The sequence below is a fragment of the Homo sapiens genome, chromosome 8, assembly GCF_000001405.40.
Source record: "Homo sapiens chromosome 8, GRCh38.p14 Primary Assembly".
NCBI lineage: Eukaryota > Metazoa > Chordata > Mammalia > Primates > Hominidae > Homo > Homo sapiens.
In genome coordinates this window covers 100,932,854-100,950,304 of record NC_000008.11, presented here as the reverse complement: position 1 = coordinate 100,950,304, position 17,451 = coordinate 100,932,854, and the positions used below count along the sequence as shown (strand labels likewise).

Here is a 17,451-nt window from a genome sequence, read left to right as displayed (position 1 = left end):
CGAAGTGATTGGGGAGAGAATCCTTTGTACTGGCTTAAATCATTTTTTGTTAGAAGCAGAAATAACCAGAGAGCGTTTCTGAGATCCTAAGGGAAAAATCAGTAATTTAGAGACCTGACGAAAATAATGCCGTCATAAAGGTTAAATAGTTTACGTATTGAGCCAGTACCTTGCATCCAAAGTGGTTAATTATTTGTTTAAAATGTGGCGACCTGTTCTCTCATTTGGTTAAAAAAATATTGTGGGATTTCCCTGGGAAGGTAAAAGATGATTAATATTCGGGAGCCAGCTGCCAAGGTGGACTCTTCTGTTCACCTTCTAACTTAAAAGTGCACTTCATTCAGGGTGTGTATTTTCCTCTGAAGTCATTTATTCTGTGGTGTCACTGTGTGGATTAGTATCTTTGTGCTGTTCGGCAACTTGCAAAAGGGTATCTTTCCAGAAAAATGTAGCTGAGGTAAATCGAAAAGGTCCAGGAAACTAAAATGCGAGGGAAAGAGAATTAGATGGGTAGTCATGGTAAAGGACAGCTTGAGTGGTAACATCCAATTACATTATGATGGCTAGAAGCAAAATGCAGCACTTCTGCATTTCAACTGGAGCGATGACATTGGAAACACTTATAAATTAAGTACTTCCAATGTGATATATTCTAGTACTCACAGTAAGAGTTGAAGTGTCATGACTTGCGGATATTTTTAAAGCATGTGGACATATAACAAGATAAAGAGTTGAGACATTAGGGTCAGATATTGATCCTTTGTGGTGGATTTATACTCAAAATATCTGAAAACAAACAGTTGGTCATTCCCCCCCAAATTGTTATGCTATTATTGGCTGGCAGTTGTTGCAGAGATCTAGTAGGTTTGGGGTAGGGGTAACACTAAAGCTAAAATGTAATCACTCTTGACAAGAGTATTATGAAAGTAAAAAGACGTGAGTTACATTAAACTGATATGAATTATGATTCTGGAAATATGATAGAAATCCAGATGTTCTCTGTAAACAATGCTTTTACTAAAGGAAGAAAAGCTGCTTAATTTTGGATCACTTAGTGGTATTGGAAATGAGTTGAGATTTTGATCAGGTAAGATTAGGGGTAGTTTTTGAGGCAGCTTTTGGAAGTAATTTTGACATGTGAAATTTGGGTCTTCTGAACAAATTTTAAGTTTTGCTACACTGATGTGTTAATGGCTGTAAGTTTACCTCTGATGCTGAGTATGCTAAATTTTTTTCCCTTTTTTGACTATCCTTTTGTGAGGCTGCATTTTAATTCCTCATGTGAACAGTCTTTCACAGGCAGTTAGGTTTCAGGTTTAAAAAACTCATTTACCACAGGTATAATTTTGAGTCTGTTTATTTTGATGGGAAAAATTTTAAATACTCCTTTTTTCCCCCCTGCAGAACATCCAGTCATGGATAAAAATGAGCTGGTTCAGAAGGCCAAACTGGCCGAGCAGGCTGAGCGATATGATGACATGGCAGCCTGCATGAAGTCTGTAACTGAGCAAGGAGCTGAATTATCCAATGAGGAGAGGAATCTTCTCTCAGTTGCTTATAAAAATGTTGTAGGAGCCCGTAGGTCATCTTGGAGGGTCGTCTCAAGTATTGAACAAAAGACGGAAGGTGCTGAGAAAAAACAGCAGATGGCTCGAGAATACAGAGAGAAAATTGAGACGGAGCTAAGAGATATCTGCAATGATGTACTGGTGAGAATCAATTCAGTCTGGCTTCATTATACTGTAGGGTCCCTATGAGTATCAGTTACATTACTCTTAACTTTTTGTTTGGTTTTTCTTTTCCTTCTAAACATTGTGTGTTCCAAATTTAAAAGTCTTCATGGTGTCATGACTAAAAAGATGTTAAGACAATTATAGATACGTGTATGTAAAATAATTGCAACAATGATTATGAAACAGTTCAGTTTTGTTAAAAATAACAGACTTTAGTATTGTATTTTATATTAATTGAAAATATAAACTAATTGTGTTACTGTTTTACTTATGGTTAGAATATTTGTAGTAGCTCTATAGCTGGTTATCTTAAATGTACATCTGTGGATAAAGGAATTTTACATACTTTAGGTAAGAGAGATGTAATAGGATACTCATTGTAGAAATAGTACTCTTCTCAGGATTAGCCGCTATAATGTTAATGTAATGAGTCAACCATGCAGAAAACTCTGGCGTCACAACTATGAAACCTCTTCCTGCATTGAATTCTTGAAGGTAAATTTTGAACACTCACAACCATGATGAAAGGTTATGAACAACTCAAGCTTGATTTTCCAGTTTGAATCGAGTATTTTAAGTATTCAGTACTTACTGTGTTGAAGCACTGCGCTTAAAAGAATTAAACTACATTTTGGTTAATTTTAATCTGTCATATAAAGTAGGGCTTTTTGATCAAGAATAGTTTAAATTTGAGGATAAACCAGTAGAGAATCCAACCAAGCTGGCAGTTTTTGGAATAATATTTAAAGTGGTTTTACTAAATGGTTACACTTAACCAGTATGGAAGGGCTCTGATATACAAAGAGGGGCAGCATCTCGATTTTTCTGGACAGATTACTGAATCTGGAACTCAGTATGGAAATCCAGGTTTGTTACTTACTATATGAACCTTGTTTATGGAAGAAGTGCTATAATGAGCAATAGGATAATGTCTGATGTGGTTGTGGGTTTGGGGTTTTTGTTAAAGTTGTGATGATACTATCATTTCTTTACATTTGTATTTACTAATGGAATAGCATCAGTTCCTAAACTGTAATTTTCTCAAATGATACTTACTTGACACTGTCTTTTTAAAGAATAGTGATTTTTTAAACATGCTTATTTGGGTTCACAGCCACAAACTCAATGAGGCATCTGTCTTGGGGCATTTTTTTGTTCTTTGCTTATTGAAACCTTTAGAATGATAGCTACTATTTGTATCTAAGTTGAAAAAAGGAATATCTTGCTTTTATTGGGGCCAAGTGACAAATGTCTGTTTTGTGATTTTGCTAAGGTAATAAGAATATTTAAATTTTGTTTTTTGTTTTTTTTTTTTTTTGAGACGGAGTCTTGCTCTGTTGCCCAGGCTGGAGTGCAGTGGCGCGATCTCGGCTCACTGCAAGCTCCGCCTCCCGGGTTCACGCCATTCTCCTGCCTCAGCCTCCCGAATAGCTGAGACTACAGGCGCCTGCCACTGCGCCCGGCTAATTTTTTTGTATTTTTAGTAGAGACGGGGTTTCACCATGTTAGCCAGGATGGTCTCGATCTCCTGACCTCGTGATCCGCCCTCCTCAGCCTCCCAAAGTGCTGGGATTACAGGCTTGAGCCACCGCGCCCGGCCAAATATTTAAATTTTGAAAATGTGATTTTTTTTTTCTATAATAAAAAATGTATTGGGTTTTTTTGTTTTTTTTGTTTTTTTTTTTTGCTCACCTTACTAACTAATATCTGTGTATGTGTAATTCAGTTTTGTTCAGTCTGGAGTGTTTTTCCCAATTATTACACCTGATCGAAAAGTTTTTATTTTGGCTTCAAAGGGTGTGTTACACATTAACATTTCCCTTAAGACAAAAGTCAATTTTAGGAATAAAAAGGAATGTAACATTTACCTTTTACTAACACGCTTATTTGCAATACCAGGTAGGTATGTGCATGTTTTCCATATACAAAGTATAAAAGTTCCTGTCATTGTGAGTCTTTTCCAAGGAAAAGACTTGTAGCAGGTTTGTTTTTTGTGTATGTTTGTTTGTTTGTTTGTTTTGAGACTGAGTTTTGCTCTTGTCACCCAGGCTGGAGTGCAATGGCACCATCTCAGCTCACTGCAACTTCCGCCTCCCGTGTTCAAGCAATTCTTCTGCCTTGACCTCCCGAGTAGCTGGGATTACTGGGCGTGCACCAGCACGCCCAGCTAATTTTTGTACTTTTAGTAAAGATGGGGTTTCACCTTGTCGGCCAGGCTGGTGACCAGGTCACGTCTAACTCTTGACCTCAGGTGATCCACTCGCCTTGGCCTCCCAAAGTGCTGGGATTACAGGAGTGAGCCACCACGTCCAGCCCAACTTGTAGCAGTTTTGACTATGCTTCCCTTTAGTTTCCTTATGAAGAAACTTTGTTTGCATAGAACCAGTAGATGAGGATAACAAGATAATCTCTTCATATAAATAGTTTCTTCTTGTTATGATTATTAAGGAAGTTCACTCTGGTCCCTACCCACATCGTTACCCTCCAGAATAGCACTGGCTTCCCAAAAAGTTTTAATGGTATTTACACTTTGAAAGTTTGGATAAATGAGAGTTTAATTTCTTTACTATACAAATGGCTTTGAAGAGAATTCTAAACAAGCTTTTGCTTCCAGCCTTGGTCTTTTCAGGAGTAAGACTTAGTGATCTTTGCATACTCAACGTGTAATAGATGCTCAAATATTTGTTAAACAAGCAGAAAGGCTTCTTTAGAGAAAGAGCATAGAATTAGGTCAGCAGCACTGCAAAATTTCCCTAGCTTTTTCTTTTTCTGCTTGGGAAAATTTGATATTTACCGATAATAGGCTTCTTTTTCCTACCATCTTTTTCAAATAGGTCACATCGACTCTGGAAACATATTGCATAAAATTCCTTCTGCCCTTTCTGTGAGATGGAAGAATAAAATGTAGCAGAACTGATATTTCTACTAGAAAAAGTTATTGAATCATTATTAATGATTAGTAAAAATATTTTAAATTATATTTTTAAGATCTTACATGATAAAAAATCAATTATAATTTTTTATTACTCCAGCCTTTTCTGGGCTTTGATATATATATTTTTTAATTTGAGAAAAATAAGCAGGTGTCCCTTTGCAGAAATAATAGTATTGGCTTGTGGCATTAGTGATAACCAGATTTTTTATATTGAGCACCTATTTTATAATAGCTATGAAAATAAACTTTCTTCCTACAAAAAGCAGCTAATCTCCAAAGTTCTGAGTTTTTCTGAAGAGCTCTTTAGTAACCCATTCTGGTTATATGTATTTATCTATTGTTTAACCATTTAATAAGCAAAGAGCTTGGACCATGTTGCATATTACAAGAGTAAATAGAGCATTATGGCGGGAAGTGGTCACTGGCATGCTCTTCACAATGTGGACTTTGCATTATGTAAAAGAACTTGGGTTTCTTCTCTTCCACGTGTTAATTTCAAACTGCAATATGTGAACTAATGCAATCTGCCTTTCCTGCCAGATGCTTAGACAAAAGCTCTCTTGGTAGTTGGGGAGGGACTCAACACTAGTACCTCTTTAAACCTGAAAGATGGCAGCCAAAAATTGGGTAGTTTTTATCTTGCACATGATGAAATGAATACCAAGGAAATACAGTCTAGGAAGCCTCTTTCAAACTCAAAGAAGTATGTCGAGGTGAATAATGGAGCTCAAGATACTGAGTCAAACTAGTTTTACCATTTAATAGATGCATGGCCTGAGGAAATCACTCAGTCCCTCTGAGAAAACTAAGCTCAATTAAATAGGAATAATACTCATCCCACAGGGTTGTGGGGAATGAGAGTCAGGTAAAGCACCTTGACTACCTTCTGTGTCCTGTTTATCTTAGCTTTTCAGTTCTATTTAAAAGTGTGAGCCTGCCTATAATAGTGCAGGGGTCTCTTAACTTACAGTCCATGAATGGAATTTCGAAGATTGAAGAAGCCTTTAAAATTGTGTATTTTTGTGGGGCAGAAGGTCCATGCCAACCATCAAATTTTCAAAGGTTTCATTTTAAAATTTAAAATCCACTGCTGTAGGCAGAGAATGACTTTATATAGGAGGTCTCCGAGAGGAAGCAGTGTAAAATTGTGTGTCTAACATTTATAACAGTTGGCAACTGCAGTTGAGTAATCTTAATAGTGATTCTGTTAATTTGACTGAGTTCTATTTTATTGCTGCTCTACGTTTTTATTTGCTCAGGGCAATTTTAAGTTGTGGTTATGGGTCACTGATTTTTATCTCCAGCCCACAGAACTACCATTAAACAGAAATAAGAAAGCAAGCGGCTTTGGGTCCGTTTTAGTCTGAATATATTATTACGTGCCTTGGGCTTTAAAAACTGCTATGTAGAGTTAGCAGTTTTTAAGATGAAAATCACTAGACAGCTCATTGGAATAAGGGCTTCTCCAAAGAACTCTGTAGGGTTATATCTATTGTTACTATTTCATTTTATTAAGATATACTGTATATTTACATGTCTTCATGGTTTTGGTATGTTTCAAAGTATAAATAATCCCAGTTCTGTGGTCTCAGGAAGGAAAAAATTGGACAGTGTCTTTTTTTTCTTTTTTTCTTTTTTCTTTTTTTTTTTGAGACGGAGTCTTGCTCTGTCGCCTAGGCTGGAGTGCAATGGAACGATCTCGGCTCACTGCAAGCTCTGCCTTCCGGGCTCACGCCATTCTCCTGCCTCAGCCTCCCGAGTAGCTGGGACTACAGGTGCCCGCCACCACACCCAGCTAATTGTATTGTATTTTTAGTAGAGATGGGGTTTCACCGTGTTAGCCAAGATGGTCTTGGTCTCCTGACCTCGTGATCCACCTGCCTCGGCCTCCCAAAGTGCTGGGATTACAGGCGTGAGCCACCGCGCCCGGCCTGGACAGTGTCTTTGGTAATAAAGTTCAGTTTTTTTTAATGTAAAGTGCCACACCCAATGACATATTTTGTACAAATACAAAAAGTCTGAGGTATATGAAGTGGAAATGATGAAAATAAAGGAAAGGGAATGGAAAGGTGTAGAGGCCTTTGCTGTTTGATGGGAAGGGAAACTAGCTCTGTCTTTATAATACTGAATTAAATGTCATTGGACTTTTGGATTAATTTCTCAAATTTTTGATTCCAAAATAAGTTACTCTTGGCATATTTATATTGAATGTGTGTGTGAGAATTTTTAAGTCAGAATGACAGGTGTTCTGATATCAAGTAAGTTTTAAAAGTTAGCATATAGTTTATTGAAATTCTAATAAGTTTCTTAGAATTTTTTGTAGAATTCCTGGTTCCCTATTGTGATTTCATTCTAGTTCCCATAGCTTTTGCTTTACTCTTGACAGTTCCACATAGAGAATAAACACCGCTCAAGGTTTTAGGGGACTTAGAACTGCTGTCAGTTTCAATATACTCAAAGCCAGCATTCCTTTTCCTTTTGAAACTGCCTGTTCTTTATAACTACCCAATTTTAGCATGTTTTCTAGACTTAATCACACGACATGTTGGACTCAACTTTGACTTAATTTTCAGATTACAAGCTGTTGATGTTTCCCATATCATTGGTTCCCTATCCTTTACATTCACGCTGAATTGTATAGTTCCCAGGATTATACTCAGAAAAGTGCACATTGCCAAATAGGAAAATGATACTGTATGGATAAACTTGATGTGCTTTTAATGGACAAAAGCTAAATTATAAACATCTTTTTACTGCTGCTTGTGGTCATTCACTTGGACTTGTTACTCTTATTTTTCCTTTTTCAGTTCTATGTTGCATGTATTTCTTATTCTAATCTTTCTAAAATGCTGATTTCATTCCATCTATTTGCTTGATCCTTGCCAGAATTCCCTGCAAGAGGCTTTTAGCTTTAGTTTGGTCGTCTCACTATCCCTGATACAAACTGTTGCTAATTACCATCTTTATGGCCTGAGGGTTTCTGCTTCATTACTCGATTTAGGACTTATTTTAATCTTGATTATCTGTCTTTCAGCATCAGAAGATTGGCTCTGTTCTTTTCTCCTTGAAAACATTTGTGTATTTGTAAAGTACACTGAAGGAGTATATGCTTTGATATTTAGATGGCACAAATGTAAATTTTGGTGTGGGAAGAACGGTCGTATCAGCAGTTCTCTCTTTTTTATTATGTGTATTTCTATGTAACCGATCATTCACTTGTTCTCTAGTCAGTAATTCCATTTAATTATGAAAAGCTTGTATATGTGAAAGTTACTGTGCAATAGCAGTTGTCATTGATTTAGTTTTGTTTTCTGGTAAGGTATAATGTGATAGAAGTAGTAGTGTAGTGTAGGATAGAGTTTTACATATTGGCAGATTTCACTAGTTTTTTTTTCTATTGCCATTCAGGCACCAAAGCCATGTGGATGAATATAGCTGACTTGATATCAGTAAGATCATTTTGTGTGACACCTGCCCTTTTGTTTACATTGGATAGGTTATTAAAAAGTTTCAGCATGTAAGCTCTTGTGGATTTCTTTTGACAGGATTTGTTGTGAGCCTTCCTTCCCCAAATAAAAATGTGCTTACAGTGGTAACAACAGGTAAAAGAATATAAGGATAGTTTCAGCCAAGTATTAATCTATAAAGTTAAGCGGACCAACATAAGATTTGCTTAATGGGTTGGCCTGTATGCATGTGTTGAATTTTAAAATCTAAGAAGGATTATTGCATTAAATTTGCAGGGACTGCCCAATTTTTGTTGTATTAGTATTTTATTTTAATCGTTTAATGAGTTGGGAAGTTAGAGATGTTTTTTTTTTTTTTTGTCGTTTTTTGTTTTGTTTTTTTCTGAGATAGCAGTCTCACCTTGTCGTCCAGGCTGGAGTGCAGTGGCACAATCTCGCCTCACTGCAGCCTCCACCTTCCGGGTTCAAGCGATTCTCCCTCCTCAGCCTCCCAGGTAGCTGGGACTACAGGCGCCCACCACCATGCCTGGCTAATTTTTGTATTTTTAGTAGAGACGGGGTTTCGCCATGTTGGCCGGGCTGGTCTTGAACTCCTGACCTCAGGTGATCCACCCACCCCGGCCTCCCAAAGTGCTGGGATTACAGTCGTGAGCCACCATACCCGGCCTAGAAATGTTTTTTAGTGGCAGTTAATTTCTAACTTGCAAACAATTTTTGGGATCTAGAGTTTTTAAAAATTAGCGTTATACCAAGGAACCCACTGGTATGCGGAATGTTTCTCATCTAAGTGATTAATTACAAACGCTTTTCTGAGACAGACCTATTTGTTGATCCAAGACTTATGAACACTCAGCTTATAATTTTTTTGCTCCTTAAACGTAATAAACATTGTCCAGTTTAGAATGACATACTTGGACCACATTCAACCAAGAGACACTTGATGAAAATATTATGCAAAATACCTACTTAAAATGTGATTCTGTGGAATTGACAGTTGAAGGTAGTATTATATAGGCAAGCTGTAGTTCTTGCCTAGAACAGGCAAGTTCTCAATTCAACAATTTGATGAGTCCTTTAGCATTGTGTTAGGAAGATGTTTAGAAATAAGACAACTCAAGCAATCTGCTTTTTGTAAGAGTAACGACTTTTCCTTCCCAGTTGCCCTTTGATTGTTGCCATCTAATGGAGGACTAGCATCAGGCTCTTTTTCTTTAATTGGAGCAGAGATAAAACTTTAAGCATATCCCTGTGTAACATTTCTAAAAATAAAGGATACTAAAGTGTATACTACCTTACTTTAAGAGAGGTGATAAAACTTAGCATGAGCCATGCAGTCTTTTTGAATTTTTGATTCATTGTGTGATTTGGGGCAAGTTTTACTGCATTTGTCTGTGACTCTGTTTCCACATCTTCAAAATGGGAATAATACTATCTACCTCTAGGATGTTTTGAGGAAATTGTTGAATTAACACACCCCTGTGGTGGTGTTAAATAGCAAATACACTGCTTTACCTTTTGTACCTCTGTGATATCACTTTATTGTGGTTTCATTTATAAATTTTGGATTAAATTTAAGAGAACTTTAGAAAGCTGAAATTTTTTATTTAATATTTGACAACTTGCTATTTTATAAGCCCTGGGCTATTACAAAAATAAATGTAAAAGCCCCTGCTCTTCAGTCTGGAGAGGGAAATAGACGTGCACAAATAATACAAGTCAAAGAGGGAAAAGTACTGCAAATTCATTGAACATAGAAAAGCTGGTCTTTAGCCTTTTTTAAAAAGGGGCTGATAAAATATAGTCCCCCATGTAGTTTATCCATAATACATAGCGTGCCACTTACAAGCTAAAAAGCCCTATGAAAAATGAGGCGTTTTAACTACCACCACCACCAACAACAAAAAGCATCGTGAGGGAAATACTGGTAAATTGGGCCTTGGTTTGTGAGAAACTTCAGCGCAGGCCTAGATCCTGGGGGAGGGGAGAAGAGGAACGCCTTCAGTGAGTGTCAATAATTTTTAAGTTTATACTTAACTACTCATTAAGTTCTTTTTGATATAAGTTCTTTTTGATACTTGTTAGTGTTTCACTTTTTTTTTTTTTTTTTGAGACGGAGTCTCGCTCTGTCCCCCAGGCTGGAGTGCAGTGGCGCGGAGTCTCGCTCTGTCCCCCAGGCTGGAGTGCAGTGGCGCGATCTCGGCTCACTGCAAGCTCCGCCTTCCAGGTTCACACCATTCTCCTGTCTCAGCCTCCCTAGTAGCTGGGACTACAGGTGGCCGCCACCACGCCCGGCTAATTCTTTTGTATTTTTTAGTAGAGATGAGGTTTCACCAGGTTAGCCAGGTTGGTCTCGATCTCCTAACCTCGTGATCCGCCTGCCTCGGCCTCCCAAAGTGCTGAGATTACAGGCATGAGCCACTGCACCTGGCCTAGTATTTCACTTTTAATCTTTAGGAACAACATTTCAAAATTTGTTTTCAGATGTTCCTTTTTTTATTTTTATTTTTTTTGAGATGGAGTTTCACTCTTGTTGCCCAGGCTGGAGTGCAATGGCGTGATCTTGGCTCACCACATCCTCCGTCTCCTGGGTTCAAGCGATTCTCCTGCCTCGGCCTCCTGAGTAGCTGGGATTACAGGCATGCACCACCACGCCCAGCTGATTTTTGTATTTTAGTAGAGATGGGGTTTCTCCATGTTGGTAAGGCTGGTCTTGAACTCCTGACCTCAGATGATCCACCCGCCTCGGCCTCCAAAGTGGGATTGATTACAGGTGTGAGCCACCGTGCCCAGCGTTAGATGTTCTTAAAACACTGATTCCTTCTAGGATTATTTTGCTAGCATTCATGATTCGGAGGGAGACAATTCTCTGAACCTGATTTAATTTGGCAGTTTTTATTCTCACTTCCTGCTAGCCCTTTCACCCAGTTGATTAAAAAAAAAAAGTTTTAGAACAGAACAGATGGGGCTTTCTATCAGCATTGTTTAGTGTAGGTATCTTTTGTTTTGGGGTAAATATCAGGGAGCAGCTACTCTTTTAACAGGAATTATATTAATAAAGTTTTAGGCTGGCTTTAACAGTTCTTGAACATCAGGAACATCTTGCTTTGCCAGATTTCTTGTTGATTAAAAGTGCAGATTTGCCATCTATTAATGGAAAATGCGTTAAGTGATTAGGCACAAGCCTGCTTATAGATGACCTTATTTATAGAACATATGTTCACAGCTTAAAATCTTATTCTGTTAGGCCACATTGCATAGAAAGGTAATAATTTAAAGTCAAAATGTCTAAAAGACTTAATAAATTAGTTCTTGACACCTCCTAATCATTAGCATTTCTGGTGGAGCACTTTTCTAATTGGTTGAAAGCAAGTGAGGAAATTGCAAATCAAAGAATGGAAGCCACTCCGGCCACAAGGGGGAGTAAGAGATTAAATCTATGGGCCCCTAATGTGTGACAGATTATGGGCTTCTTGCATGATTTCTTTTTAAAATTTTAAGAGATCTAGGATTTATACAAGGCCCAGTGTCTCTACAGAATAAAAATTATAGGAAAATTATCTCTGCATAAGAGAATTGTACAAGACCAGAAATTTGAACTACACTATGCTGAAGAGTTGGAATTAAATCTATTAATGAGGATGTTATTAAAATGACATTTGTGGGGTATTTTTGTGAGTTTTTAAATTGAATAATATAAACTGGGAGTTTTACATAATTTATAGATTTGTAGAAATATGTTTAAGTATACAGAAATTTCATTGAGTCATTGAATTTTAGGGTTAAAGGGACATCTGATCTAGCCTTTTTATTTTAACAGATCAAGACACTGCAGCTCAGGGGTTCAGCTATTTACATGAGGTCATACAGTAAGCATTAATATTTGTAGTCTCTTAATGTAGTATCATCTTATTGTAGATTGAAACATGACATTTAATCTGCTATCAAGATACTGGGTTTGTAGGGGGGGATGAGGAGTTGTCAGAATAACAAAATAAGTGGCTTTAATTTTATTGAAAACAGTGGGGTTTTTTTGTTGTTTGAGATGGAGTTTGACTCTTGTTGCCCAGGCTGGAGTACAATGGCATGATCTTGGCTCACCGCAACCTCTGCCTCCCGGGTTCAAGTGATTCTCCCGCCTCAGCTTCCTGGATAGCTGGGATTACAGGCATGCGCCACCACGCCCAGCTAATTCTGTATTTTTAGTAGAGATGGGATTTCTCCATGTTGGTCAGGCTGGTCTCGAACTCCTGACCTCAGGTCATCCTCCTGCCTCGGCCTCCCAAAGTGCTGGGATTACCGGCATGAGTCACTGCACCCGGCCGATTTTTGTTTCAGACTATAATTAGGGTGCTGTACTTACTGAGAATCACTTTTGAGGGCTCTTATGCCTCAGTTACTTGCTACCTCAACCTTTTAACTTCTGGTGTGTGTATGCTTTGTATGAAAGCAGGCATGTCTGTGTCCTAATGTCTCTCTCTTCATTTGTTGTTTTGGAAGAGAGCCATGACAGTACAATCTAAAACAGAAGAATGGGTTATGGAGGCTTGATCTTTCTCCCACTCACATATTTGGTGAGGTCATGTCAAAGTTAGCCCAGCTGTATTCGCAAATTTCAATTCATAAATGTCTCAATAGAGGTTGATTGTTTTGCTTTGATATTCTGGGGGGATTTGCTATTTGCTAATGACACTCGATGTCTAATTATCTTTGTGCGAATTAAATTTAATATTAGGACCAGTTGGTGAAATACTGTTTTAAGACAAGATGAGAACTTTCTCTCCACCCCACATATTTTTCTTTACAAATGTATCATTGTTTTTGTACCATTTCTGTGTTAAATACAAAAGTAGTATCAGCCACATAAGGAAATTTGAAAAAAAAAAAGCATATAAAGGGTATGAAAAAGGGTATCTTTCAGAAATAAAGACAATTAAAAGGGACTTCTTTAAAATGTATTAACTTTTCATTTTGAAATAATTTCAGATTTAGAAAGAGGTTGGAAAAATATGAAGAGTTTTTCATATATTTTGCCAGATTGTCCACATGTTAATAACTACAGTATAATTATTAAAATCAGGAAAATGATTAAAGTAAATGATAAACTATTATGTAACCTATAATCTTAATTAAATTTAGCAAATTGTTTTACTGTAATTTCCTGTTTCTGCTCCAGAATTCCATCCAGAATTACACTTTGCATTTTGCTTACATGTCTCCTTACTCTCCTTTAATGTGGATCAGTCTTGTTTTAGTCTTTGCCTCTAATGATTTTGGAACTTTTTTCAAGAGTACTGGCTGGTTATTTTGTAGAATGTCTCTCAGTTTCGATTTGTCTGGTGATCCTTTTTGTTTGTTTGTTTGTTTTGAGATGGAGTCTCACTCTGTCCCCCAGGCTGGACTTCAGTGGCGAGCTATCCTGGCTCACTTTGCAACCTCTGCCTCCCAGGTTCAAGCGATTCACCTGCCTCAGCCTCCCCAGTAGCTGGAATTACAGGCACCCGCCACCATGCCTGGCTAATTTTTGTGTTTTTAGTAGAGGTGGGGTTTCACCATGTTGGCCAGGCTGATCTCAAACTCCTGACCTCAAGTGATTTGGCCGCCTTAGCCTCCCAAGGAGTGAGCCACCGTGCCCGGCCTGTCTGGTGATTCTTCATGATTAAATTTAGGTTGCCAGTTTTTGGTGAGAACTCCTGGAAGTGATATGGTGTCCTCCTCACTGCATTATATTAGGAGGCATGTGGTGTTGTCCTGTTACTTAACCAATTATATTTAGATAGTGCATTATGCTGTTAGGACTTCTGAAAACACACCCCATGGTGCAAAATACCCATTGAATCTTTTTTAAGGTATATGCCTTAAGATTATGATTACTTTGTCAAAGGTTACAAACTAAATTATTTTGCCAAAGTGCTTTTTAAATAAGCTGCCTCTGTTTATACTGAATAGGTTGCTTCTTCAAAGGGGAAAATAGGATCCCAGCTCTGTAACTTGTAATTTTTTTTCGAATTTATTTTCATTAGTTGGCTTCTTGTGTTCTAGTTGGCAAGCCCAAATCTCAGCACATAGCACGGTGGTTTGAGTGTATAGTGGCAGGTTGGCTATTCTTCAGGACTGAGGTGAATGTACAAATACTTAATGATTGAGTTCTTGTTCATAATTTTGGGGTTTGGTCTAAGGACCCTTAGTTTATAAATTCTCTGATTACTTTTTAAGAAAAAAAGTGATCTTGAATTTAAAGAAATGTAAGGGATAGTGGTGGGGTGGGAAATTCATTATGTTAGAGGAGATTTCCTGGCATTGGAAGGGAGATTTTGAAATTAATGCTGTAGTGAAACACAAGAAGATTAAGGTGAGGAGGAGGCTGGTCATAGTTTTGTATTTGAAATGCCTGTCTTGCCTCTTAGTTAGTAGAATTAGTACCATAATCTAGGACCCTTGACTTCTTAACAAGTTTACTCTGCCTTGCAACCTCACACTCTCTTCCAGTTCTCTCTGCAGGATTTTTCTTAGGTTCTTCTTTGTTCATTACATAGAAACCTGGAGCTTATCCATATTAGGAGGTGCTTAGCCTGCCCCTTTGCTGCTGTTTCTGAATATATGTGTTTAGTTCAGCACTCACATATTTTAAATGAGCAATCTCTTAGGTTTTCAGAGAAGTAGAACATTGTTGTGTCTCTTACAGCAGAATATTCATTATTGAATGTAGTGTCAACCTGAATTTCTATCAGGTTTTGTCTTAACTATTTAGGAATTTGGTAAGGTAATACACTCTTGATGATGAAGACTTTCTGAAAAATAGTTTTTAGGATGTTGAGCTATTAAAATATCCTCCAAGATAGTTTTAAAATGTTTTATTTAAATGAAGCTATTACAGTTATGCGTATATTATTCAGTCAGGGAGTTTAATATTTTTGAGTGCTTAAAATGTGTAGAACGTGCCTTTATTAGAGCCTATGAGTAGGTTAAGAGTATATATGTGTGTGAAAAGTTAAAGGTGCAAAACCATAATTGTTTGTTTTATTTGAGATGGAGTCTAACTCATTGGAGTGCAGTGGCACAATGTCGGCTCACTGCAACCTCTGCCTCCCGGGTTCATTCAAGCAATTCTCCTGGCTCAGCCTCCCGAGTAGCTGGGATTACAGTCGTGTGCCACCACATCCAATTTTTTTTTTTTTCCCAGTAGAGACGGGGTGTCACCCAGGCTGGTAATCTTTATTTTAAATTGTACTTGCTCCTAAGAATTTAGGTGTTAAGAGCATAGCATGTAGAAGGAAAAAATAAAGCTGCTGTAACCTCATCCTGCCTTCTTGGAGGTAATCTCTGTTAGTCCTTTGTGTATCCTGGGAATTTATGTGCAAAGTAAACAATTCTGTCCTTGAAGAATAAGGATCATATACTTAGTTTGGTAAATTGTACAAAACTACACACTTTGATGTATATCTTATGTTTCATTTTGACAGGTACCTCCTTACTCTTTTGTTTTTTGGAGACAGTCTCGCCCTATCGCCCAGGTTGGAGTGCAGATGGCACAACCTCTGCCTCCTGGGTTCAAGTGATTCTTCTGTCTCAGTCTCCTGAGTAGCTGGGATTACAGGCGCCTGCCACCACACCCAGCTAATTTTTGTATTTTTAGTAGAGACGGAGTTTCGCCATGTTAGCCAGGCTGGTCTCGAACTCCTGACCTCAGGTGATCCACCCACCTTGGCCTCCTAAAGTGTGGGATTACAGGCGTGAGCCACCACAACCAGCCCGTACCTCCTCACTCTTAATGTCTGTATAGTATTCTATTATTTGGGTATGTAGCAACTTACTTAGCCAGACCCTCCTTTTAAAAAAAAAAAAAAAAGATAGGGTCTCCCTCTGTCCCCCATGCTGGAGTGCAGTGGTGCACTCACTGCAGCCATGACATCCTGTGCTCAAGTGATCCTCCCATCTCAGCCTTTGGAGTAGCTGGGAGTGCAAGTGCACACTACACTAGGCTAATTTTTTTTTTTTTTTTTTTTTTTTTTTTTGAGACGAGTCTAGCTTTGTTGCCCAGGCTGGAGTGCTTTGGCACGATCTCAGCTCACTGCAACCTCCGCCTCCAGGGTTCAAGTGAGTCTCCTGCCTCAAGCCTGCCAAGTAGCTGGGATTACAGGTGTGCACCACCATGCCCACCTCATTTTTTGTATTTTTAGTAGAGATGGGGTTTCAACATGATGGCCAAGCTGGTTTTGAACTCCTGACCTCAAGTGATCCACCCACCTCGGCCTCCCAAAGTGCTGGGATTACAGGCGTTAGCCACCGCGCCTGGCCACGCTAGGCTAAGTTTTTAAATTATTTTTAGTAGAGATGGGGTCTTGCTATATTGCTTAGGCTGGTCACTAACTCCTGGCCTCCAGCAATCCTCCCAGCTCAGCCTTCCAAAGTGATTGTGATTAAAGGTATAAGCCACCACACCTGGCCGTTAGTCCTTTATTGACAGAAATTAGGATATTTCCCTTTTTTCTCTTCAGTTAAAAAGCTCTACACTACACACTATCTGTACAGACAATGTAGATGAAGCTGAATAGCTTTGAATAATTAGCTTTAGGGAGAACATAGCATTAGAGCTAGGTATGGAGAGGTATTTAGCACAGATTCTTTTCATTTTATTTTTCCAGCTTTATTGAGGTACGATTGGCAAAAAAAATATATATTTAAGGTGTACAACATAGCAGAGGTTACTTTAAATCAGTTGTTAAAAGTGATATGCCGACCACTGGGAGTCCTTTGGGGAGGTGTCTATTACATCACAAAAAGTCACAACTATTTTCTTCCTTTTTTTTTTTTGAGACGGAGGCTCACTCTGTTACCCAGGCTGGAGTGCAGTGGCACAATCTCGGCTCACTGCAACATCCACCTCCCAGGTTCAAGTGATTCTTCTGTCTCAGCCTCCCGAGTAGCTGGGATTATAGGCACACACCACCATGCCCAGCTAATTTTTGTATTTTTAGTAGAGACAGGCTTTCACCATCTTGGCCAGGCTGGTCTTGAGCTCCTGACCTCATGATCCACCCACCTCGGCCTCCCAAAGTGCTGGAGTTACAGGTGTGAGCCACTGCGCCGAGCCAGGTCACAACTATTTTCATGGCAAATACTGTTAATACTGATTCTTATCACTTTGTTGACATTTAGCACTGGTGCAAACCCAAGGGTTGCTCAAACTTACTGGTTCCTTATCGCTAATCAAGGCAGTGATACTATACTGTACTAGTGATTATTGTATTTCTTTACCATTATGCACTCACTGTTTCTTTTAAAAAGAAAAAAGACTTTTTTTTTAATGTCCTTGAAT

The 17,451-nt window shown here is 38.3% G+C and overlaps 1 protein-coding gene across 10 annotated transcripts in view, besides 1 other annotated feature; it reads left to right on the top strand.

The window, feature by feature from the left end:
• The window catches only part of YWHAZ (tyrosine 3-monooxygenase/tryptophan 5-monooxygenase activation protein zeta), a 36,860-nt gene that overhangs the window by 3,078 nt on the left and 16,331 nt on the right, over positions 1-17,451 (top strand). For all 10 annotated transcript variants that reach the window (NM_003406.4, XM_017013810.3, XM_005251061.4 and 7 more), the window contains one exon: positions 1,405-1,709. In NM_003406.4, coding sequence (NP_003397.1) covers positions 1,416-1,709 — 294 coding nt within the window. In that variant the 5' untranslated portion in view covers positions 1,405-1,415. The remainder of the gene's footprint in view (positions 1-1,404; positions 1,710-17,451) is intronic.
• Positions 21-80: an enhancer, noted in NCBI's record as "active region_27722". NCBI's record gives its function as "activates an Ori minimal core promoter by ATAC-STARR-seq in GM12878 lymphoblastoid cells {active_cell/tissue: GM12878}" and the evidence as "EXISTENCE:reporter gene assay evidence [ECO:0000049][PMID:35858748]".